Source organism: Homo sapiens, chromosome 18 (genome assembly GCF_000001405.40).
Source record: "Homo sapiens chromosome 18, GRCh38.p14 Primary Assembly".
Classification (NCBI taxonomy): domain Eukaryota; kingdom Metazoa; phylum Chordata; class Mammalia; order Primates; family Hominidae; genus Homo; species Homo sapiens.
The window spans coordinates 70,760,424-70,787,611 of record NC_000018.10 but is presented as its reverse complement, the minus strand read 5'-3'; the positions used below and the strand labels follow the sequence as shown (position 1 = coordinate 70,787,611).

The 27,188-nt window shown below is 37.5% G+C and overlaps 1 long non-coding RNA gene across 2 annotated transcripts in view; it reads right to left on the bottom strand.

The window, feature by feature from the left end:
- Nucleotides 1–1,080: 1,080 nt before the first annotated feature.
- Nucleotides 1,081–27,188, bottom strand: part of LOC105372185 (uncharacterized) — a 30,515-nt gene continuing 4,407 nt past the window's right edge. The window contains exons 2-4 of one of the 2 annotated variants that reach the window (XR_007066413.1): nt 13,995–14,183; nt 3,483–3,950; nt 1,081–2,264 (exon numbers count right to left, since the gene is read on the bottom strand). This is a non-coding gene — a long non-coding RNA (uncharacterized LOC105372185). Of the gene's footprint in view, nt 2,265–3,482; nt 3,951–13,994; nt 14,184–16,739; nt 17,654–27,188 lie in introns of those variants that run through there. The other variant, XR_001753500.2, reaches the window with a different exon arrangement.

The following is a 27,188-nucleotide window of genomic DNA, read 5'->3' as shown; positions in this document are numbered from 1 at the left end:
AAAATTGTCATGGGGTGAAGATTGAGTAGTTTGTTCACTGCTTTTAACTAGGGCAATTTGAAAAAAAAGCAACAACTTTGTTTCATCATAGTTAGGAACATGAAAGATTTGGTCAGTACTGCTGCAGGCTCCCTGCTCCCTCCCTCCCCGCAGGGCTCTCCTATAGCCTATAATTCACTTCCAAGACATTGATGGCATTCTTACGATGGTTTTCTCAAAAATATTGTCATTAGAGTTTATTCACAAAGTCGGATTGGCAGAAACCATTCAAGAATGGGGACTTTGTCTCAAGCATCACAAGCACTATTAGAAAAGATCCGCAATGTCTAGGAAACAATTAAAGCCCCTGAAACAGACTGTGTAGCTATTCATTCTCATTAAGAGATGGGGAAATACAGGTTGAATTACCCTACAGAAAATTAGACAGGAAAGTGGAGACCATAATCATACCTTAAAAAACCGCATTAACTCCTCCCATTTTTCAGAGTACACTACTGAATGTCATTCCAGCTTCCAGAATAACGAACCCTCAAGAGCCAAAGCAGAAGATGACTGCAGGATTAGAAGCAGTATTTTCTTTTCAAATTTCCCTATATCCTTCAATAAAAGTCCAGCTCAGAAAATCGAGAAAAGAGGAGCAAGTGGTGGCCACCACCTCTGCCACATTTCTGGATTTTTTAAGGTGTCTGCACAGCAGAACCATCTCTTCTACTTTCTTATATGGAACAAATTTCGTGTCCAGAATATTGGTGATGGGAGTTGACCAGAAAACACAATTTTCTATTCAAAATCCTTGAAAAACTTAAACATAGTGCATCCACTTCATTGTTGATTAAAAGATAATAAAATTAACTGCAATATAATTTATTAGTCTTTTAAAGTTCAACAATTTATCTTGCATAATCCTTTGCCAGTGGAATGTGTTTGCAGCCCCCAATTTTAAGGTTGCTGACCACTCTTGAGAACTACATTTTAAAATCTTTTTTATTAAATTTTAAATATGTTAGTATTTGTATCTCATAATGACCTTATGATCAAAAGGACAGACAAGACATGGACTTTGAGAATGACTTCTTGTAATTTACTAACTTAGGGTTTATTTCATTTTCTTAGTATCTCATGCTATTGGTGACTCTGAGCTGTGGAATAAACACTGCCTTTCATTGAGAGTGACATCTCAGGTTTTAGCCATTCAAGCCATCATTGCTGCATTTATTCTATAGCCCTAGTTTATAATTTAGTTCCATTCAGGTTTTTATGTAGCAAACAATAAGGCAAAGAGTGTGTCACCAGAATGGTCTGCTGGCTCTTCAGAAAATAATGCAGCTAAATGTTTGGGCACATATGTCAATTGAGGAGGCTTACCTCTTCAAATGACACTCTCAAGTGAACGTTTTTGGCTTCTCTCCTTTTCTGAAATCTGTAATTTGTAAAGAATGGGTCACAGATTCCATTAGCATCCATCACCAATCGATCAATCAAAGGCAATCCGTTAGAAAGTCAATGAATATTTACAGTTTTTTAAAAAAGTCAGAAACAATAAATTACAAGCAGACTCAGTTAATACACAGAGTGAGAAAATTAACTCCTAAACTACAGACAGTCACTGAGTTCTCCATGCAAGCTCTCACAAGTCTGAAATCAAGGTCTTGGCTGAGCTGAGTTCTCAACCTGGATGCTTGACCAGGAAAAGATTCACTGCAAAGTTTCTCGCGTTTGTCGGCAGAATTTGTTTCCTTGCAGCTGCAGGACCGAAGTCTTCATTTTCTTGCTACTTGTTATCTGCAGACCACTCTCATATTCCCTTTTGATTAATTTAAAGGGGATGACAAAGGGGATTTTGCAGCTATAATCAAGATCCCCTGAGGGGATAACCTTTGTCATCTAACCTAAGATGTCACGGAGTGACATTCCTTCATATTCACAAGTTCTGCCTACACTCAAGACAGAGGGTGAGCGAGTATACAAAATATGTACACCTAGAGGTGGGAATCTTGGGGCCACCTTAGGATTCTGCCAAACACAAATTTATTATAGGATGTCAGCCTCTTTTTTTGTTGTTGTTGTTTTTCTACAACAAAGTCTTGTCTGTTCTTTGATGGAGTCCCCTCACCTGTGTCCATCATCCAGGCTGTCATCGATGGTCTCCAGGCTGGATCAGCTACATGGTTTCTCCTTTCATATGTGTGCATGAAGGCTGATGTCAGTAGGAGTCTCTCTGTATCTCCTGCTGATAGGATCCCCTCAAGACATCAAAAACGACCCTGGACAACATGTAGAAATAGAAGATAAGACTCTTTCTTTAGCTCTCACTCCACTTTATTTCTGGGGTCTTTTAGAAACACTATACTGGTTCAGTCTCAAGACTTTCCATGAGAATTAGTCCCTGAACTCTTTTTTAGTTGTTCCTGTGAAAACAGAAGCTTAGCCCAGTTGAAGAGATCCCAAAGAAGACAGACACTCTGCTGTCTCTCCCTCTTATTTTCCTTGCCTGCATTCCTAACACACCAAGGAAATGTTCTCTTCAAATGCCCTCCGGCATATGAATGAACGGAAAAGGACCCCCCAAGGAAAACGTATGCTCCAGAAACATCTCAGCTGCAGCCAAGATGCTATATGACACATGAGAGAAGCGGAAACTCATTAAGGGCGGAGGCTAAGTAATTTGCCCAAGATGACAAAGATAGTGGCTAAAGAGCTAAGTGTCCTGACTATAAAACCTGAGATATTTTCACTTGCTCTCATGTCAAATGTTTCCCAGACTTGACAAATTAAGAAAGGGATGTTAAAATTTGAGGTTATAAAATTAAGTATTTTGGAAAAATTAATTTTATTTGATTTATAGTCACCAGGAGTATTTGTTGGTTATATACTGACTCAGATTAACTTAAGCAGTAAAGGAGTTTATTGTAAAGGGTCACCTCCCAAAACTAATTGAAAACCTAGCAGAATAGGCTCAATAATAATTGAGGGAGAAGATGCTTAGCTACTTTTCCTGACAGAGGAATGGTCTGTTCAGCATCCGACTGCAGCTGCTCTGCCTGAACACTCACCTCCAAGCCACTGGACTTGCTTCTCCAACATACTTGTTTCTAATAACCCTAAAGGGACCTCTGCACTTTCAGAGCATCTCATTCACTGTCCATGGGCCATGTGCCGCCAGGGGCTGGAAAGAAAGATGGTCTCCACTTCTCCCTTCTAGACTGAGTGTCAAGCAGTCCAGTTGCAAATGTTCACTGCAATATTCATCACCATGGAACTACTAATCAACTTCCTTTGCCATATAAACCTTACTAGAATAGTATCCTGTCATCACAAAAAAACTCCCCTCAATTTCCTCTTGAGTTTTCAAATCTTATTCATCTTTCAAACTGCCTGTCCTTCCTTTCTCCCTTCTTTTGATCCCTCACTTGTCATACAAACCTTAAGGAAGATAAAATAGACAAAATTCAATCCAACATATATATATATATATCACTTACAAGGGAAGAAAATTATGGCATAATTTCATCCTCCAAGATGCTCGACTTCTAATTAGTGGTCTCTGCTTTCTTCCCTTTTCAGTTTTTCTCATTTCTGCGATTCCTCCCTTTCTTTCCTTTACCTGCTATTATTTTCCTTCATTTCTGACATTTACTTCTTCTGTAACCTCCAAAGTTTTCATTTACAAGTGATCTTTATCACATACAATGACCCTGGAAGGAATTCCTTCCTGTAAGAGGAAGGAATACATTCAACAGACAGACATGTGTATATATTCTGAAACTGCTCCACAAATCTTTCTCTACCACATATAATTTGGCTTAATCAACTGTCTTGAAGCACTTGATTATCTTCTGGGATCTGTAATCCTCTCATTTCTTAGAATTAAGTTAGTTTCTTCCCACTTTTTTTCACTCACTCCCTGTGAGGATAACCGGATCTTTGCAGCAATAATTCTAGAAGTTGTCCTGTAAAGAAAGATAGATAATATAATTAACTTTTAAAATCTCATCGGAAAGTGAAGGTCCTCCCCTTAAGAAAAGATTCAATAAAGGGAGAGCTGGTTCATGGCAGAACTAGAAGTGGGTCTCCTAATGCCTAATTCAGCCCTGTCCCCACCACTGTGGCAACGGAGTACAATAAACTTCTGACCCAAGGTGCTATTATTCAGGAATTAATTTGAGAGTGAAATAACTTCATTTCACTGAGGAACTGTAAGTAAAATTTCATTTAAATTGCATACATAGGTTCTATGAAAAGAAAACTATACTAAAATAGTTTATACTGTTTTATACCATTTATTCAGCTCCTACTGTAAAGATAAATTAACTTCCCTCAGGTGTTAATGATACTATCTGCCAGGTGATTAGCACACATTAACTCTTTTGTCTCCCATCAACTATAATATGGAGAAAGTGTTATTAGCCCATTTTTAGAAGAGAAAAATAATATTTAAAGAAGTTAGGTTACTTTTCCAAGGATACTCAACATATATGAGGCTTCAGTAGAATTCAGCTCAAGACCAATCTCCAAGTCTACACTCTTTTCAAGACACTGGAACAAAGGAGTGAAGGAAGAAAGTGAGAAAGAAGGAAAGAAGGAAGGAGGCAAGAAAGGAGGGGAGAGAGGGCAGGAGATGAAAGAAAGAGAAGAAAAAGAAAGAGACACAGAGAGGTTAGGAAGGCCAAAAGAAAAAAGGAAGAGAGGAAGAAAAAGAGGAAGGAAAAAAGAAAAAGAGAAGGGAAGGAAGGAAGGCAGAGAGGGAAAGAAAGACCTAAGAAGGGAGAGAAGGGAAAAGGAAGCGAAGGAAGGAGGGAGAAAGGGAAAGGAGAGAGAGGTGGCAAGGAAAAAGATTAACGTTAGCAGTCATAAACTGCTAGAAGACAGGATGTAGCAGGGCAGCTAGGAAACACTTGCTACTTTAGGGACAGCCATAATTATTTTAAAATACAGATGGTGCATAAATCTGAAGGGAAAAAAGAAGCTCCCATTCCCACTTTAATACTGGGAAATAAAAATATAAAAGATAGAAAATGTTAGAGATAATCAAGCTAAGTTCGCATCATCCTGCTTTCAAATGATATTGCCTAGGAAAAGAGGTCTTGACAGTGCATATGGATGGAGGGTGTATCAAAAGATATAATCAGGAAAAATACTAGCTATCTTCCTATTTTATGAGCAACACCTTCACTATCTTCAGAGTCTACCAAAAAGCAGACATTAGTGAAAATATTAAGCATAAAAGGCTTGAAGATGTTGCCATGGGAACAATAAAAGCAGTCTTGCCTGGGTTCTATGTCCAAGTCCACCTTATCCAGGCATTTCAAGATATTTCCTTAATTTGTCAAACACTAAAAGCAACAGGCATCACACGACTTAGTGCACGGAATAGCATACTATTTATAGGCAAATTTCTACTTCTCAAAATGAGCAGTATGACTAATTAACCTTTGTTTTATGTAACACATGAAATTGAAAACAGCCCTGAAATTGAGGCTGTCACTAATCAGCCTTAGAGAGCCCTGGCTCAAAACCAACCTGACCTCAGCTCGTGATTGTGCACCCTTTACCGCCATCTAGAGTCGAAAATCCCAAACAACAGGCAAAGCCACCCAGAGGATATGGAAATTAGCCTAAATTAGTAAGAGGTGCACAGTATCTCCTGCATTGTCCACGTTTTGTTTTTCGTTTTTTTGTTTTGCATTTTTATCGCCCAACTAAGGTAACAGCCTACTTATGGAAGCTGTCTTAAGTACTGTGACAAGCTCTGTGTGAATCACTTGACAACGATGGTTTTGAACTATAGCCCATACAATAATAGCCTCTAACTCAAGCACTTTGTGTCATAGCAATACACTAGTTACTAGGACATTCTAGAGACACAAATAAGATTATTTTTATGAGGAGAGAGGTATTATTGGAATTAAAAGGACAAGACTTATTCATTCTTTCTTCTTTTGTTCAAACGAAGTGCTACAAACTCCATAATTCTAAGCAATAGTGATTGATGTGCTGACAGAGCCACTAAAAGGATGCTTTTTTTTTTTTTTTTTTTTTTTTGAGACGGAATCTCACTCTGTCGCTAGGCTGGAGTGCAATGATGCGATCTCGGCTCACTGCAACCTCCACCTCCCGGGCTCAAGCGATTCTTATGTCTCAGCCTCCCGAGTAGTTGGGATTACAGGTGTCCACCACTATACCTGGCCTTTTTTTTTTTTTTTTTTTTTAGTAGAGACGGGGTTTCGCCATGTATGTTGGTCAGGCTGGTCTCGAACTCCTGACCTCACGTGATCCACCCGCTTCGGCCTCCCAAAGTGCTGGGATTACAGGCGTAAAAGGATGCTCTTTGATTCATTACAATAAACAACTTGCCTAATCTTGATTCCTGAATCAATTAATTCTTAAATTGCCCTACTATTGGGTAAAATGTTTAGCCTAGCAGGTGGAATATGTTACTAACATAAGGTCAAGATTGCTATCGAAAAGTGCAGCCCATCTGCATTTTTGAAAGAATCTTCAGGTTTAATTACATCAGTGATTTGATTTTAATCTATATAGAAAAGATGTCTTTTATTATATATGTAATGATAGCCAGTGAAAACTAACATAGAGTTGCTTGATGCTTATACCAGAGAAAGTCTGACTATGTAAAAAGGCAAATGATGTTACTACTTTACATAGACAACTTGGTATCTTCTAATTTGTGTTACTCAATTGGAGTTTTAATCCATGGGATTTTCGTATATTTTGTCTCATTTTGCAACACATAGAGCACTTAAGCAAATACTATTATCACTAAGCACCAAACAACAAGCAACGTATTTGAACAAATGTGTAAACACATACATAGCAATATGTTGTGAGGTTTCATTTTTTAATTAATTTATTTATTTATTTATTTTTGAGACGGACTCTCGCTCTGTCGCCCAGGCTGGAGTGCAGTGGCGCGATCTCGGCTAACTGCAAGCTCTGCCTCCTGGGTTCACGCCATTCTCCTGCCTCAGCCTCCCAAGTAGCTCGGACTACAGGCGCCCGCCACCACACCCAGCTAATTTTTTTTGTATTTTTAGTAGAGACGCGGTTTCACCGTGTTAGCCAGGATGGTCCTGACCTCGTGATCCGCCCGCCTCAGCCTCCCAAAATGTGAGGTTTTATTTTTAAAGAACGATATATCCCTAAATTGTCATTTATTATATTGTATTATTATAAGGCCTATTTAATTAAAAAAATACAGAACTAGTACAAAGATAATAAACCACCCACAGACCTTGTACCTAGAGGTAATCCCCACACAGAGAGAGCTCATCATTGAGTCATATTGCACATACATGGTTATAACCTACTTTGTTCTTCTAAAAATCTATTTTTTAATGTATGATTACCCTAAAATATGAGCAGTAATTAGAAAATAATAATAATCTTAAGGCCAACAAATTTAAAGCAAGGGATGATTAAAAAAACTAGAAAATGCTGATTGCCTTATTCATCATTTTATTCAATCTCTTAGTTACATTTATAAATCTTATTTAGTTAGCACAATAAGGTATAATTGGCATAAATAGAAGTGAATAAATTTATTTAAAACTTATTTGAAAGATATTTAGGACCTGTAAGTGACCAGTTGCATGTGCAGGTTAGAGACAGGACTTTGTTTTGTACAGAACTGAGTTCTAGCCTCCCCCCTAAAATGTCAGCTTCTTTCTCAAGTCTGTCTGTACATCAGAATCAACTGGAAAGCTTCTAAAATGTATTTTTTCTTGGGACCCATGACAAACCAATAAAATCAGAATATTTGGGGTCCTTGATAGTCTTTATGGAAGCTCCCAAGTTAAGATGTAATGAGGGTTAACATGCAGTAATGAACACATAGTGAGAATTGATAACCACTGGTCTAAATGGTGTTTAAACCATGAGACTAAATGAGAACATCAAGCGATTGAGATGGAGAACAGAACAGAAATAAAGGATGATCTCAGGATTATTTCACCTTTTAGGAAGGTTAGAGAGATAAGGAAACAATAAAGGATATTAAAGGATATTGAGAAGGAGCCACAAGGGGGTTTTAGGAAAACTGAGAGAGGATGGGGTCCTAGGAGTCATACAAACGTATTACCAGGAGGAAGGAATGACTGCTTGTGATGTTGTGATGTAAGAAATACATATTCGCAGTGGCTCACGCCTGTAGTCCCAGCACTTTGGGAGGCCGAGGCGGGCGGATCACGAGGTCAGGAGGTCGAGACCATCCTGGCTAACATGGTGAAACCCCGTCTCTACTAAAAATACAAAAAATTAGCCGGGCGTGGTGGCAGGCGCCTGTGGTCCCAGCTACTCGGGAGGCTGAGGCAGGAGAATGGCCTGAACCCGGGAGGCGGAGCTTGCAGTGAGCCGAGATTGGGCCACTGCACTCCAGCCTGGGTGATAGAGCGAGACTGCGTCTCAAAAAAAAAAGAAAGAAATACATATTTTGGTCTTCATCCCTAGCTCCTGGCCAGAGCTCTGGAACCTATGATGCTCCTATGGCATCTTCAGCATAATGTTTGGTTTTGTCCCCAGCTTCTGAAATATCTCCAGAGCAATAAAGGAGAAAGGAGTGTGTTTTGTGACTCATACCAAGCCCCTTTCAACCTCACGTTTATGTTAATGAGGTGACTTTTGGAAAGCCCCTAAGAGTGGGGAGCTGCTTGTCATAGAAAACCAACCATACGGATTATAGGGTTGGAATCTTCAGACCACCCCAACTCAGATCTCTGGGGAGGAGAAAGGGGTTGGAAACTGGCTTAACCAGTGAACAATAACTTAACCAACTATGCCCATGTAATGGAACCTCCATATAAAGTCTAAACAATGAAGTTCAGGGAGCTTCCACGTTGGTGAACACATTGAGGTGCTGAAAAGATGGTGCACCCAAAGAGGGCATAGAAGCTCCCCACCCTTCCACATACCTTACTCTAGGCACCTGATCCATTTGGCTCTTCCTGAGTAGCATCCTTATAATAAACTGTTAAATGTAAGTAATGTGCTTCCATGAGTTCTGTGGGTCATTCTAGAAAATTCTTGAACACAAGAAGGAGGTGGTAGGAACTTCCCAATTGATAGCAGGTTGGTTTGATGTGCAAGAGGACTGAGATTCTAACCTCTGGAGTTTTTGTTAGCTCTGAGTAGTTAGTGTCAGAACTGAGTTAAATTTTAGGACATCCAGTTGATGTTCGAAAAATCAGAGAATCGCTTGGTGTGCAAGAGACTCACCCATTTGGTGTCAGAAATGTGAGAATGTAGAGAGTAGAGAGAACAGAAATAGAGTTTTTCTCCTTATTACGCATGACAAAAGATAGGTCAGGAAATCCAGGGATTGAAAATTGACCATTAAATTTAGCAAAATAGAGGATGAAGGTAACCTCGACAAAAGCAGTTTTGCTAGACTGATGGAGACAAAATTTGATTGTAGCCTGTATAAGCAAAAATGGGAGGAAATGAATATTAAAAAGTCTTTCAAGGATTCTTGTTATAAATAGAGCAGAGAATAGGATGGCAATAAAAGGCAGATTTCATATCAAGGGAAAGATATTTTTAAGGGGTAAATGACCACAAGCCTGTATTCTTACAAGAATGATCCAGAAAAGAGAAAAATAATAATAATGCAGAAGACTAAGGAGAGAGTCGTTGAAACACTGTTCTTGAGTGGTGTATGTGGCCGAGGCTGGCTCAGCAATAGCACAACATAGGAGGAAGCGTGGCAATGTATATGGTGTGCATGCGTGGATGCTGGGGTAAAGAAATGGGAAAATGCCTTTTGACTGCTTCTATTTTCTCTGGAAAGAAAGAAACAAGGTCATCACCTTAGAGTAAGGATGAGTGCGGTGCAGATGCAGGTTTGAGCAGAGGGGAGTTATAAAAGAGGCCCTCAAGAGAGAAAGCAAGTAAACATTCTTGGTAAACGGACATTTCCTGCCAGTGCTGCTGTGACATTCTGTCCATTGTAGTTGCCCAATAAATATTTATTAGGCTAGGAAATGAATTTTTTTTCATGAAATGTTGCTCGAATGTAATCTAATTTTTTTTTTATCATCTAGGTTAAATCACTGTATCCACCAAAGTCATCAGAAAGGTTCTTAGACAGTATTTTCTTGCTGTCCTTGAATGGCAATTTACTATTATATTCCTTGGTTTTATGGAGGAGCAATAAAAGAAAGAGTCTTATGATGCCTGTCCCCTTTCTAATCAGAGGTTTTGTGTTTGTTTTTATTTTATGGAGTTTTTTCTTTTTCTTCTTTTTTTTTTTTTTTTGAGGTCATTGTCTTTAAATGGCTTAGTACCTCTTCTATGACGTCTCAAGTGAATTTTTTTTTTGTTTTGGAGATGCTAGAAAATTGACTCATACCTCATATTCAAACAAGCACAGTATGCCTTCTCAAATAATGAGAGCTGTGTAAATGAATGACTCTCTTTTTTTGTTACATCTATAATTTAACTCAAAGCCAAATCTGTGCCTCAACTATAACAAATATGAGAAGCACATTGTTTGCACAGTTCAGTTCCAATTTCCCTCCAACTCTACTTCCTATTTTAATTCACATTTTTCTGAATCCTAATTTTATTCAGATTTATATTTTACCACTTTTTCTAAACTATCGTGAATCTATTATGTAAAGTGATGTATAAAGATAAATAGGTACAGAAATTTAAAAGGTTGGAATTACAAATGTGATTTGCTTACAAAATTCTGATAAATTATTATACTGCATAGTTCTTGACCCATTTATATACTTTTAACTTATGATCACATTCTGATGCTCCTCTTAATCCTTGAGTTACACAAAACAATTAAGATCACCTAAGTTAAACCTGAGTTCAGACTTGAATTACCTTCTTATCCATCACTGTAGCTAGTGTGTGCTAAATTTCTCACTAAGATATTCATACCAAGTTCTTCACCCTGCATCTGGTGTTGTTTAATCCTCACAAGCTGAAGAGGTTAAAATGTCTGCTCTTAAACTACAAGTTGAATGTAGTTTTCCAAAATCATTTCATATTTCAATTTTTCTTTCTAATATGAAGTAATAAGCAGGCAGCTATCTCCTGCCAACATTGACCTATCAGTATAGATTTTCTTCTTTGTATTTCTTTCCTGATATTAACAGCTAGCTTTTCTCTGCACATATTTTAAATGCTTTTGTTTTTCTGATATTTGCTTCTATTTCTGGTATTTACATCAACATTATACAAATAGATTTACAAACATACTCCTCATACCCCAAGATTATTTGCCTATTGTTACAGAAATATCTTGAGGAAGAATGAGAGGGCTTAGAAAAGAAAATCTCCCCCAAGTGCACATAGATATATAAAAACCAACAGAAAGTGACTGTGTCCTTTCATTTTGCTGACATTTAAAGGACTGCATTTCTTTTGGTGACCCCCCTAAAGGCTTCCAACCCACAGTTTCATGGACCTTCATCAAAAGATGTTATCATGTTGTGTCGACCAACAAAAATAGCACTATCACATATAAAACCGGGCTGCGCAAAACTCAGTCAGCCTCAAAGGCACAATAAATCCAGAGCCATTTTAATATTGAAAGTTCCAAACAATATTTTCATTCTAGGCTTTAAGCACACATTTTTATAGGTACTAGTTTAACGCTTCTTTTTACAGCTCATGCCACACGGTGCTGTCTGTAAATTCCCACAGGGGCCACTGAGACGCTTATGTCAAACTGCACCATGGCTGTTAATTCTTAATGTCTGCAGTAAACATGCGGGCCTTAGGGTGAGTTCTAAGACTTGACCATGGAAAACGATGAAGGGAAGAAGGAGGAAATGAGGGCAGAATAGACCAAGAAAAAAAAAAAAGGCAAACACAAAAATTAGTATAAGAAACTTACACCTGGAAGGAAGTTAAACTCCTTAATTATACCGTTGAGTACACTGAGGTCCAGACTGTTTGCAAGACCGATCTAAAGTCACTGGGCTATTTTATGCCAAAGGCAGGGCTGTTTTGAAATTCCCATCACATTACATCACCCTGTCATAATAGAAAGAGTTAACTCACTGAAGGAATTAAAAATGAAAATGCAAGTGTTGCCATCATGATGATGATTGAAGTTTCATGGTGTAATTAACATTTTATCCAAAACGCTGTTGTTGAGTGAGAAGTCATTGTAACACTACATTAAAATGACTGGATTTTTAAATGAAGAGAAATTTTATTCCCAAGGAGAAAGGTCTCAATAATGGAGAGCAATTGAGACCTACCACAAATAGCTCTAGAAAAAGGAAGGATACAACATAAAACATTAAATATCAGCCAAGGAAATATCAAGATTATCAGAAATACAAAAGTTAAGAAAGCAATTTGTATTGTAAAATAATTTACAATAAAAGGCTATTAAAACTAAAATGATCTGTCGTGTTTAACAGCTTGATTCCAGCATTCTGAGCTTGTTAATTCTGATATTCATTTCTCTCCATACTATGAATAATAGTTTGGAGGTCAAATTTTCACCATCTCTAACAAAAATTGAAGAGAAAGCAAAGCCCTTTCTTGTTGTGACAAAATATTTCCCAAAATGAGAATCAAATCTCATATGCCCATATCACAATGGGATGACAAGTAATGTTTATGTAAATTTTCCAAAGGTTGAAGTATAAGAAATCTTTAGTCACAAGAGGCTTTCCCTGAGCTTATTCATTTTAGAGTTTGTATGAAAACAAAAGCTAAAAAGAAGTGAAAATGAAGTAATAAATGAAGAGTGTTGTATTGCGGAAGACATTATCACTATGAAAATGAAAATTTGTAATGAAATCCAATATTGCACTGAGTTTAATAAAGCCAGCAGTCACTTCAACTTAACAATAAAGTAATCTCATGGAATGATGAAATGGCAATATATAATACTTTTTAGCTACTTTTCATAGGCAATAAACAACTTGCAGGAAGTTATGGTATTTGCATTCCTTGATGTTTTTGGTAATAAAAGTGTTTAGCTTGTTTAGCACAGATGCCCCCTTCCAAATAACATGACGGACATTACATATGCATAGCTTCATTTATATAACATACAATTACCAAGTGCTTATTGAGTACATGCTGATAAAGAGAGAAGCATAAGTATGATTTGCAGATAAGCTGGATTTCCTATTTATTAGAATAATGACATCAAACAAGCTATATCATCATTGTACATGATATAAATTATCTCTTCTGGAAACTATATAATATAATCACATTTTATCAATATACAGATCCTCAGAGTAAACCAGGAAGATCAATCCTATATATTCTCTAAATACAAGGCTCACAATACAGTTACCTTATTTAACTACAGAGTCCTGAAGAATCCAGTGATAAACACATTCGTGCTCAATAAAAATTACAAACTAGCCCGTGAGTGCTCTGGCCTTTTTATTGTATTCTTTGTTCACCGGCAATCTCGTCCTCTCCCAGAGTTTGAACTGCAAACTATATACATATGATGCCCACATTTGCTCTAGACCTTACATGTGAGCTTCTCTGGGTTCTCATGGCTCAGACACATCTTGGAAATATCCACCTCCATACCCCACAGGCACCTCAAGCTTTAGGTGTTTGAAACAGAACTTTTATCATACACCTCCTGAATTCCTTTCTCCTCCTGCATGAACTCTTTCAGGCCACAGCCTCACCATCTCATCCGCCATTCCAGCTAGAAAGTTTGTTCTCAGTTCGACTCTGTTCTCTGCCTCAAGCCTCATGCCCAATCAACAGGCAAGACCTAAAAGTTTTCCCTCCCAAATGGTTTACAAAAGCATTCCTTCTGCTGCATCCCTATCCTGGTTCAGCCCAGGTCATTTCTCAACTGAGCTGCTGGAACGGCTGCCTCGCCAGTCTCTCTGCTTACCTTCAAAATAGCATCTGCAGAGGTTCCACCTGCTCTCTCTGCAGTTCTGGGTGTGTCTGCTGTGAATGCCAAGGAAGGCCACCTCTCACAAGTTGGCCTAAGCATGATCTGGCCCTGTCCTGTTTTGTAAACTTACCTCTTGTCACTCCCAATGACACTATCCTTCACAGTTTTTTTGTTGTTCCATTATTTGGGCTTTTTTAAAAATTTTGTTCATGTTCTTTTTATCCAGCTGCACCCTTCTTGACTAAGCAAACTGAGCTAAGGCTTTCAGACTTAGCTCTTACAAAAAGTCTTTTCTGAAACCACAGACTCACAGAGATGCCTGAGAAAACATAAAGGAACACATTATCATTTCAAACTCAAATGAATCAAGGATCTTGCCCATTAACAGATTTTACTAATCAAGTTAAAGATATAGGCAATCAAGAGGCTCAAATGGAAATAAATAGAGGCCTGGAGTTTTGAGAATGGTTCCCACATCTTCCTTTTTGACATCAGACAAGTGCTCTGCGGCCCACAGTAATAAAGTTATTTAAAGATTATTCCTCACGGTGAGGATGTTCCATTTATGAAACACGTCCATTTTATATCCCAGTTTATGTGACATACTGGCAATCCTTAAACAGAGATATCTTGTTAAGAAGATCCCATAGATAAGGATGTTCTAGCAAATATTATTAATCTATTTACTAGAAAGTCTGGTTAGCATACTGACAAAGTTACCCGGGTTGCCTGTCTGCTTTTAGTTCCCCCAGGTCTATACCCCAACACCATCCCCACGATAGGACATGAATAGTGTGAATAAATAGAGTAGGCCAGCTGATTTAACTCTTCCCTGTCCACTGTCCTATATTCCAATAGAAATACCTGAAATTTTGTCATAACTATTTTGATATGGCTATATCCACAGAGGTACTTACATTAGGAGAGTGGATGTTTTCAAACAATCTAAACAAAAAAACCTTAAACTTTTAATCTTTTAAAAAAATTCATTACCTCATAAATGTATACAGCAGACACTTACATTCCCTCCCACACTTCAGCCCAGTAAACCTTAATGATTGTATTTCTGGGTGGATAAGGCTTTGGGAATAGCTAGAAGTTGGATGGAAATGATTAGGGATGTCTGTTGAACCCTCTGGCAATTTTAAAGTCATCAAAATAAATACCAAAAGAGTAAGATCAATTTTTTATTTAAACACAGCATTTGCCTGTCACTACCTTTAACCTGCATTGAAATTTTCTAGTAATATGTGTATTCATAATTATGTTTCTGAATTTCAGGTATTTCAAAAAATCCTAAGCTTCTTCACCAATATGTGCCTCTAATTTTCTCTCCCAATTGAAATAGAACTCTCCTCTGATAGTACAGGTTCTCTGCTGCTCTCTGTAGTAAAGAATATTCATTTTTACACCTCGGAGCCCTCAAGTTCCAGAGGTGGTACTGGAGTCTCTCCTACTCCGTAGTGCAATTCACATCCATTTGTGAAAGAAACACTTGTTCTTTTAGGTCTCAAGCTTCCTTAACTATTAAAATCTACTGACTTCTAGACACTCCTTCTCTTTTCATTTATAACAGATTCCATTTCTTGGGTTATTTAAGGGTAAGTTGTTTAATTTTAAAACATTTGGGTACTGTCTATCTAGCATTTTGTTTTTATGTCTAGTTTATTTGAGCTATGGTCAATAGACATACTCTGCAAGCTTTTAATTGCTTGCAATCTGTTGACTTGCTTTGTAGCCCTAAACATGAGCAATTTAGTTAAATAATCTGTGAGTACTTAAAAGGAGTACATCACTGAATTGATGGGTGCAGTATTTTATACATATCAATCATGCTGTGGAACAAAGCGTTGAGCTCTTCTATGTCCTTACCAATATTGCATCTGTTTGTTGTATCACTTTCTGAGACAAGTGTAGATCTGTATATTTTTATTTGTATCAATTTTGGCTTTATGTGCTTTTCTTTATATATGTATATTATTTGAGCTATGCAATTAGGTTTTCATTTTAATTAAGAATTGTTAAGTCTCCCTAGTTGTTTGACCCTTTAATTATGATGAATTTTTTATCTCTAGTAATGCTTCTTTCCTTAAAATAGACTTAATCTAATATTGGCATATTCAAGGTAGATTTGTTTTATTAGGTTTTTCTGAACATGCTTTTCCATACTTTTATTTTTAACCTTCTGGTTTCTTATATTTAAGACATATCTCTAGGAAGCAGCATATATTATAATAGTAAGACTTTCTTTTTTATCCAGTGGCACTGTTTTTTAATGTGTTTAAGTATTTCATCAATAACAGGGTTTAAATCTACATTCTTATCATTTGTTTGCTATTTTTTTCTATTCCTCCGCTATTGAATAGCTGTACCATTTAGAATATACACCACCTTGGTCAATGCTCTAGGGAAAGAACGACATGGAGAATTGTAAACTGACTCAAATGATTTCCCCTGGAAGTGACATGTCACTGGGCAAAGACAGTCACATGGCCATGCCTAAATTAACAGGAAACAGACCAAGCAACCTTCTGTTTTCCCAAAAGGTAAGATGAACAAGGCACATCAGGAAACACTAGTAATATCTTGGACATTCTACTTACATTTTTAAAACTTCTATGTGTCAGAGAGCACCATAGAGGGTATTAAAAGTCAAGTGACAAGTGGGTGAAAGGTATTTCAAACATGTATTATAAAAAGTGATTACTATCCAGAATATATAAAGAAATCCTTCCTTTCATTTGTAACAGATTCAATTACATAAATATGAAAAATTTTAGACTTTCTTCTTGTGTCAGTTTTAGTAAGTTGCAGTTTTCTTGAAATTTCTTCATTTCATCTAAAATTAAAAATTTGTTATCATAGACTTCAGACATTTAAGTAGTCAAAACATTTATTCCATCACCATGCATTTGCTTAAAAGTAACTTAAGTACTCCAGCAAAATGAAAAGTAAATCAAATAATGTAACAGAATATGAATCAAGGAATTTAAAATCAAACCACAATAGAGCAATAATATATTGACATAGTATTGTGATACATTGTATTTCACCCTTTATAGGTGAAGATTTGGGAAAACATGCATTTTCATATAGTCTGTGAAAGAGTATAAAGTTCAAAGTGCCTATATCCTATTGTCTAGAAATTCTTCTCCTAAATATGAAAAAAATAAAGAGCACAAAAAGAAATGTACCATAAGGCAAATCTATGCATACTGAAATTAAACTCTCACTGAAATATATCAACAAGTTAAAAAAGAATTCCATATTGATATTTAGAGGGGTCTATTTATGTTAAAGTTATATACACAAATAAAATCAAACAAGCTGCTCTAGGTACCTATATGTATAATTTAAGAGTATAGATAATGGTCTCATAGGACCAACTAGAGAATATTACCAGAGTGGCAAATAAAGTTTGATCAAAGTTAAGAGAAACATTTACTGTATCAAAATTGTTTGTATGTTTTACTATGATAATTCAGTAGTTTTTGTATATGTAAAACAATACTATACTGAAGAATAATATATTAAGACACATTCTAAAGAACTAAATTGTTTCAGATTAATAGAATTATTTATACTCTATTTTCATATGATTTTTCACGTTTTATCAGAATAATGAATACACGAAATAATACATCTAGTGTTTGTTAGAGAAGGGCTCTTGATGAAAGCTGAAGTCCTTTTTCCCATCTTTTTCCAGACCTCACCATCCCAATGCCATTCATCAGAGACCAGTTCTTTGAACTCTTCATTTCAAATCTTCTCACGGTGAGCTACAAAACACTAAGAAATATATTTGTATCTTCATTTCTCAACTTTAACAGTATTTTTTACATCCTACTATAAAAGATTCATAATATTGATTCATACCATCTATTTTTGTAAAGTTGTATAATTACATAAACATTTTCTATTAATTGCCTGAGTAGCTTCAAATAATATATCTAAATATTTCCCATACCATCAATTATCAACAATATCAGTAACACTCACTTTATAAGGTGAGAAAATCAGCACATTTACCACCCTATCCACCCTCCATGCTTCTCCCCCAACACATGCTGTCTGCCCAACTGAACTTCAATACTTTCAAAGTTGAAAACATGCATAGTTTGTTCTGTAATAACAACCAAATCTTCTATGCATTTTATAGGTTGATCCTAAAAGTTGAAAGACCAATAGCCAGGATTTCATTATCAGGACTTCACAAATATTCACTTTTCTTTATTTTTTTCTTTTACTGTTTTTTTTTTTATTTAATTTAAAAGTTCCAGGATACATGTACAGGATGTGCAGGTTTGTTACATAGGTAAACGTGTGCCATGGTGGTTTGCTGTACCTATCAACCCATTGCCTGCATATAAAGCACAGCATTAATTAGCTCTTTTTCCTAATCCTCTCCCCCTACCATCCACCCTCCCCCAAAAGCCCCCAGTGTGTGTTGTTCCCCTCCCCGTGTCCATGTGTTCATTGTTCAGCTCCCACTTATAAGTGAGAACATGCAGTGTTTTGTTTTCTGTTCCTGAATTAGTTTGCTGAGAATAATGGCTTCCAGCTTCATCCATGCCCCCGCAAAGGACATAATCTCATTCGTTTTTATGGCTGCATAGTATTCCATGGTATATATGTACCACATTTTCTTTTTCCAATCTATCGTTGATGGGCATTTGCGTTGATTCCACGTCTTTGCTATTGTGAATAGTGCTGCAATAAACATGCATGTGCATGTATGTTTATAGCAGTATTATTTATATTCCTTTGGGTATATACCCAGTAATGGGATTGCTGGGTCAAATGGTATTTCCGGCTCTAAATCTTTGAGGAGTCACCACACTGTCTTCCACAATGGTTGAACTAATTTACATTACCACCAACAGTGTAAAAGTGTTCCTATTTCTCTGCAACCTCACCAGTATCTGTTGTTTCTTGACTTTTTAATTATCATCATTCTGACTGGTGTGAGATGGTATCTCATTGTGGTTTTGACTTGGATTTCTCTAATGATCAGTGATGATGAGTTTTTTTCATGTTTGTTGGCTGCATGTATGTCTTCTTTTAAAAATTGTCTGTTCGTGTCCTTTGCCCACTTTTTTTTTTTTTTTTTTTTTTTTTTGAGACAGAGTCTCGCTCTGTCACCCAGGCTGGAGTGCAGTGGCACAATCTCGGCTCACTGCAAGCTCCGCCTCCCGGGTTCACACCATTCTCCTGCCTCAGCCTCCCGAGTAGCTGGGACTACAGGCACCCGCAACCACGCCCAGCTAATTTTTTGTACTTTTAGTAGAGACGGGTTTCACCATGTTAGCCAGAATGGTCTCGATCTCCTGACCTTGTGATCGCTCACCTCGCCCTCCCAAAGTGCTGGGATTACAGGCGTGAGCCACCACGTCCGGCCTCTGCCCACTTTTTAAAGGGCTTGTTTTTTTTCTTGTAAATTTGCTTAAGTTCCTTGTAGATTCTGGATATAAGAACTTTGTCAGATGGATACATTGCAAAAATTTTCTCCCATTCTGTAGGTTGTCCGTTTATTTTGATGAGTTTCTTTTGCTGTGCATAAGCTCTTTAGTTTAATTAGATCCCATTTGTCAATTGTAGCTTTTGTTGCCGTTGCTTTAGGTGATTTCATCATAAAATCTTTGCCCATACCTATGTCCTGAATGGTATTGCATAGATTTTTTTCTAGAGTTTTTATAGTTTTAGATTTTACATTTAAGTCTTTAATCCACCTTGAGTTAATTTTTGTATAAGGTGAACAAAAGGGGTCCAGTTTCTATTTTCTGCATATGGCTAGTCAGTTCTCTCAGCACCATTTGTTAAGTAGGGATTCCTTTCCCCATTGGTTGTTTTTGTCAGGTTTGTCAAAGATCAGATGGTTGTAGATGTGTGGTTTTATCTCTGAGTTCTCCATTCTGTTCCATTGGTCTATGTGCCTGTTTTTATACCAACCAGTACCATGCTGTTTTGGTTACTATAGCCTTGTGGTATACTTTGAAGTCAGGTAGCCTGATCCCTCCAGATTTATTCTTTTTTGCTTAGGATTGTCCTGGCTATACGAGCTCTTTGTTAGTTTAATATGAAATTTAAAATAGTTTTCTTTTTTCTCATTCTGTGAAGAATGTGAATGGGGCATAGTAGCACATGCCTGTAGTCCCAGCACTTTGGGAGGCAGGGGTGGGTGGATCACTTGAGGTCAGGCATTTGAGACCAGCCTGGACAACATGGTAAAGCCCTGTCTCTACTAAAAATACAAAAATTGGCCACGTGTGGTGGTGCACGCCTGTAATCCCAGGCACTCAGGAGACTAAGGCATGAAAAGTACTCGAACCCAGGAGGCAGAGGTTGCAGTGAGCTGAGATTGTGCCACTGCACCCCAGCCTGGGCAAGAGAGTGAGATTCCATCTCAAAAAATAATAATAATAAAATAATTACATATATATATAAGACAGTGGTGGTTTAATGGAGATAGTATTGAATCTATAAATTGATTTGGGCAGTACGGCCATTTTCACGATATTAATTTTTCCTATCCATGAGGATGGAATGTTTTTTCATCTGCTTGTGCCCTCTCTGATTTCCTTGAACAGTGGTTTGTAGTTCTCCTTGAAGAGGTCCTTCACTTCCCCTGTTAGCTGTATTCCTAGGTATTTTATTCTCTTTGTGGCAGTTGTGAATGGGAGTTCATGATTTGGCTCTTTGCTTCTCTGTTGTTGGTATAAAGGAATGTTTGTGATTTCTGCACGTTGATTTTGTATCCTGAGATTTTGCTGAAGTTGCTTATCAGTTTAAGAAGCTTTTGGACTGAGACTTTGGGGTTTTCTAGATACAGGATCATGTCATCTGCAAACAAAGACAATTTGACTTCCTCTCTTCCTATTTGAATACCCTTCATTTCCTTCTCTTGCCTGATTGCCCTGGCCAGAACTTCCAATACTATGTTGAATAAGAGTGGTGAGAGAGGGCATACATGTCTTGTGCCAGTTTTCAAGACGAATGCTTCTAGCTTTTGCCCATTCAGTATGAATTCATTTGTCTCCATTCAGTATGATATTGGCTTTGGGTTTGTCATATATGGCTCTTATTATTTTGAGATCTGTTCCTTCAATACCTTGTTTATTGAGAGTTTTTAACATAAAGGATGTTGAATTTTATAGAAGGCCATTTCTGCATCTATTGAGATAATCGTGTGGTTTTTGTCTTTAGTTCTGTGTATGTGATGAATTATGTTTATTGATTTGTGTATGTTGAAACAGCCTTGCATCCCAGGGGTGAAACTGACTAGATTGTGCTGAATAAGCTTTTTGATGTGCCACTGGATTTTGTTTGCCGGTATTTTATTGAGGATTTTTGCATCGATGTTCTTCAGAGATACTGGCATGAAATTTTCTTTTTTTGTTGTTGTTGTTGTGTCTCTGCCAGGTTTTGGTATCAGGATGATGCTGGCCTCATAAAATGAGTTAGGGACAATGTACCAGGAACAATGCACCAGAATCTCCGGGACACAGCTAAAGCAGTGTTAAGAGGAAAATTTATCGCACTAAATGCCCACATCAAAAAGCTAGAAAGATCCCAAATTGACACCCTAATATCAGAACTAAAAGAATCAGAGAACCAAGAGCCAACAAGCCCCAGAGCTAGCAGGAGACAAGAAATAATCTAGCTCAGAGCAGAACTGAAGGAGGCAGAGACACGAAAAACCCTGCAAAAAATCAACGAATCCAGGAGCTGGCTTTTTGGAAAAAAAAAAAAACAATAAAATAAATAGAGCGCTAGCTAGACTAATAAAGAAGAAAAGAGAGAAGATTCAAATAAATACAATGAGAAATGATGAGGATACCACCACTGACCCCACAGAAATACAAACGACCATCAGAGAATACTATAAACACCTCTGCGTGAATAAACTGGAAAATCTAGAAGAAATGGATCAATTCCTGGACACATACACCCTCTCAAGACTGAACCAGGAAGAAGCTGAATCCCTGAATAGACCAATAACAAGTTCTGAAACTGAGGCAGTAACAAATAGCCTACCAACCAAAAAAAGCCCAGGACCAGATGTATTTATGGCTGAATTCTACCAGAAGTACAAAAAGGAGCTGGTACTATTTCTTCTGAAACTATTCCAAACAATTGAAAAGGAAAGACTCCTTCCCTAAATATTCACTTCCTAAGTCACTTAGTGTATGAGGTTTGAACTTCCCTTTCTACATTTCAATGACATGACCCTGGGACCCATGTAGCTCCTAGTACAAATGTAAAATGAACTATCGCTGTAGTATTCTCCATCAGTGATTACTTACTGTGACACATCTTAGTTTGCTTTGTATTTGGGCTATAGCTTTGGTTTTACCACTGTTTTTCCTGGATTTTGCTTTAATTTCTCTGTCCTCTCAGTTATATCACCTATTAAGTGGAGAATTCTCTCCTTCCTCCCTGGAGGTCTCTATCTTCATGCTCTCATCTGAACTCTGGTACTGCTATGAGCTACCATTCTGGAAACTCCCTCACTAGCTCATGTGGGTTAGAGCCATTGTTTCCTAGGTCCTGGAAGTCAGGCAAGACTTCTCATTTGCTATAATATTTAAGTAACTTTCTAAGAAAAGCCATGGGGAGAATAAATATTTTGAGTACTCAATGTCCAAAATTATGTTTTCTCTGACTTCACACTTCATTGACAGCTTAGCTCTGTTGGAATTCTGGGTTCCAAATGATTTCAGAATTTTGAAGGCATTCCTCTGTTATCTTCTAGCATTGAATTTTGATGATTAAAAATATCTGATATCAGCCTGATTCTCATTTCTTTGTAGATAATCTGATTGGCTTTTTCCTTTGCAATATGTTAGAAGGGTTTATTTTTACTCTTATTTTTATTATTTAGGGTCTTTCAGTATGAAGATTTGGGTCTTTCTCCAGCACTAAAAAATTATTATTATTTTTAGAATTTCTTTGAGAATGTCCTTTTTGTCCATGATCTTTTTGCTTTCACTCTGACCTTTTTGTGAGTCAGATGCTGCATCACCAAATCATCAATGTTTCTGGGGCAATTCTATCTAGAGGACCCTGGAGGCTGACTTGCTCTCTGCCTTGATAGCTTAGCAGAGAGCAGGGTCAGGATGTGAAAGTTAGCTCAACAGGAAAACAAACAGACCAACACCAGCCAGTGGGTACTGAGGACTCCCCATCCTCGACACCCCGCTTCTCAGCAAGACCACTTATGGGACCAGGGAGGTTCCACTGTTACAAAGTCACACAGATGTTCCTTTGAGACACACATAAATGCTGCCCATGAATGTTAGGGGGCAGCCTCTCTCACCTGCAGCACTGACCATCCTCATACTGGCCTGGGTGAGGGGCACTGAGAGGGTGAGGAATGCACACTCTCTACTACTTCTCTCGTGGTGAAACTCCCCCCACCCCACACAGCAATCCATTCTACATCAGCACTCAGAACAGTCTCATGTTTTCATTTTTTAATTTGTTGCTCCATGTTCTGGGGAGTTGTTCAAATTTATTTCTTGATTTCTATGAATTCTTTCTTTTTCTTGAATTATTCATTTTCCTGTGCCATTCTGTTCTTTTTACATTGATTGCAGTATCTTCTTAAATCTGAGAATATGTGAACAGTGGGATTTTCACGTGGGTCTGATGTATCTGAGCTCCATTTCGTTCTCTGTAGTATTTCTGTCTTCTCGCCATCAGCTCCATCGCTCATTTGTCTTCATTTCTCTCTTCCATGCTCTTGGTCCCCCTCATATCCCCAGTGACCCTTGAGAGCTGGCATGGATTTCCTCTGCTGATCAGTAAATAGGTCTGTTTCCACTTGAGCTTTTTCTCCTGAGAGAGGATTCTGCTGGGAGTGCTGTGTAAGAGCATAGACTGCTGGCTCTCAGGCGGCAGATATGACATACTTGTTCTTAAAAATAAGGAGATTAACGGCAACATAGGAAAACAGTCCTACAAATAGTACAATCAACATGCAAATTCACGGTATGATTGGCCAGCCAAGCACGGCCCAAAAGGCACCAATGTACAAAAGGACCACACCAAGGGGTAAGCAGGGCTGTACCCTGGGACCTTCTGCCAGCAAAGCTGCTCCCTCTGGGGGATGCTGTTCTGGGAGTGCTTTCTTCTCACAAAAGCAGCAGGCTGTGTACCTGTGAGTTGCATCCACCCAGCGGGAGAGCCTTTTCTAACTTATTCAAAGACCTCCCATCGATAGACTAGCTGTGGGCCTGAGGCTTGCTAGTGTCGGTGGAATACATGACAGAGATGATGGTTCAAGCCACAAATCCCAGATGTGGCTAAAAGATAAAGTGGTTCCCCAATAAGATTTTAAAAATTTATATCAAGTATTTCTCTTTATTTTGCTTATGAATAATATTCTTTTCTTTCCCATGTAAAATGAGACCTTAGAATTTAAAATGAGACTTTTAGCAAAACCTGAGGAATTGTAGCAGTTCTTTTCCTAGACCTCCTTGGTTTGTGAGAGTCCCAGGAATACTAAAATCTACTCTTTATTCTCTTCTTTAGTACTAAATGATGAGGCTTTTAGAGTGATTTTTTTTTAACCACAAAACTACATTTTAAATCTTTGTTTAAAAGAAAGGCCTTTTCAGCCAAAGCACACATTTTTGAAAGTTACACACTGAAATCTAAAAGGTAAATGAGAAGTTTAATTAGCCAATGTCTTTTCCTCTTCTTAACAATCTAAAAAACATATTTGCTGAGCATGCGTTAATAATCCACAAGTAATGAATTAATTCTCATGTCAGTGGGATATCCACAAAACCTCCTTTATATAACTCCAAAAATATTAATTTCCCGCCACAGGGCGAGGCAAAGGGAGCTCCCTCCTCTCCTGTGCAAGCGGCCTCCTCACTTGACCTTTGGGGCCCTCCATGAAACATGGCAGGGAGCTGCAGGGAGGAGATTGCGCTCAGCGTGGGTGGCTCATTTTACAGGAGCCTCTAAACCCGGAGGCTGGGGCCTTAGGGCATGTCGCCACAGCTTTCAAAGACCAATCTTTAGCTTGAAGAAAAAGATAAATTCATAACTTGCAAACTAAGAATATTGTGTATTAAGTTGGTGCAAAAGTAATTGCAGTTTTTGCCATTGAAAGTAATGGCAACCCAATGTTTACCTACCATCAACTACGTGTGCTTTCAGTTGAGTTAGTTAAACGCAATTATACAGGAATTAACTGTTTTTAGAAAAATAATGCAGTTTCTCTGAACTTATGTAGATACAACTTGAGATTTTCAAAAAAATCAGTCAGAAATCAGTAAGTTAAAAAAGATTGTGTATTTGTCGAATTGACTGTTTTCAAATCACTCACCCCCACACTTACAGATGACCTTTTTATATTTTCCCAATGTCTTGATGTACTTCTCCTCAACCCTAAATCTAAGACACATTTTTCAAAGCATATAGAACATCTTTATGTCAGAAACTTCACTTGATGTCCATATCGTTGGCACTGATAGAATGCCAACAGATCTCTAGATGTGCGTGTAAGCATGTGTGTGTGTGTGTGTGTGTGTGCATGCAGCCCAATACTATAAGAGAGTTTTCCTTAGGAAACATAAAGATGTTCTATATGCTTTGAAAAATGTGTCTCAGATTTAAGGTTGAGGAGAAGTACATCAAGACACTGGGAAAATGTAAAAAGGTCATATGTAAGTGTGGGGGTGAGTGAATTGAAAATAACAGTCATTTCAACAAAGAGAGTGAAGAAAAACAACAGGCAATGACTAGGCTTCTTAGAATACAAGGCAAAAAAATATAAAATGTTAAAAGCATTTAAAAATCAATGCAGAATAATAAACAACATGCAGGAATTAAGAAAAGGCAACCACTTTGACAAGCCTGTAAATACATAAAAACAAAAACAACAAAAGTAGTATTTATTTTTGTAAAAAATGAAGGTATCCACTTAAGTGTAATTTGATTTCCTATAAAGAAGCAAATGCTGGGTACAACAGTGGACTCATTTTCCTATTCATATGTGGCTCTTTTGAAAACATAAAAAACTAACCCTACGAGGAGGTCCTCATTTGTTTTGACCCATAGTTGATCAGCGTAAAAATCTTTCACTGTCTTCAGTATGCTTTGAAATTTCAAATAAAAATAATGTTGCTATTTAATCCATTTATAATGATAGTAACATAAGATAAAAAATTCTCATTTGGGCCTTTGGAGACACTGAGTTTTTCCTTCAAAGCACGTGCTACTAATCAGTTCCCCAGACCTTTTCGGAATCACCACCTCACATGACCATAAGGAATACAGTTCTCCTACGTGACAACTGGAAGCTTACTTTGTGGTTTTGTTTTCATGGCATAAACACAAATATCCCAAATCATCCAAATAAGATCTTTACTTGGTGCATAACTATAATTGTCCCTGCGAAGTCCCTTTTGCCATGTGACAGTATATTCACAGGTCTGGGTGTTAGGGTATGGAGGTTATTAGGAGGTCATTCTGCCTACCACAAATATAGTTATTGGGGCAAGATGATAAGTGATTTTTTAAGTGTATTAATTTTCTAGGGTTGCCACAATAAAGTGCAACAAACAGGGCAGCTTGAACAACAGAAATGTATTATTGCATAGTTCTGGAGGCCAGAAGTCTGAAATGGTGTTGGCAGGGTTGGTTCCTTCTGAGAGCTATGTGAGAAGAATCTACTCCAAGCCTCTCTCCTTGGCTTGTAGATTATCATCTTCATGCTCACATCCCATTCTCCCTGCATGTGTGCCTGGGGCCAAATAGTCCCCTTTTAGAAGGGTACCCTTATAAGGATTAAGGGTGGATTAAGGGCCCACCCCACTCCAATATGACTTCATCTTAACTAACTAATGTAACTAACTAATTATATTTGAAATTACCCTATTTCCAAAATAAGGTCATACTATGAGGTATGGGGTGGGGAGGGTTAAAAATTCAATGTATGAATTTTGAGGGGGACATTATCAATCTATAACAAACTGATAAGTGATATTTCTTTCAAATTTAAAACATTAGGCATAAAATAGTTTGATAATGTTATTCTTTTCTGACACATACTCTCGAGAATTCTGGGCCATGAGAAAGAACCATCAATAAAGAATAGAGGAATATGTATGTGGTGATGGATATATCCATATATGTGATGGATATATCCATATATATTATACATATATATATATATATATATATATATATATATCTGATCAGTTTCATGAAACCATTTAAGGGAGCTACCATTTCACTCCCTGAGAACAGTTGCTCTGGTGAAATTGAAAAGTCAAATTTCACAGTTAATGATTCCTTGATTATTAGAACT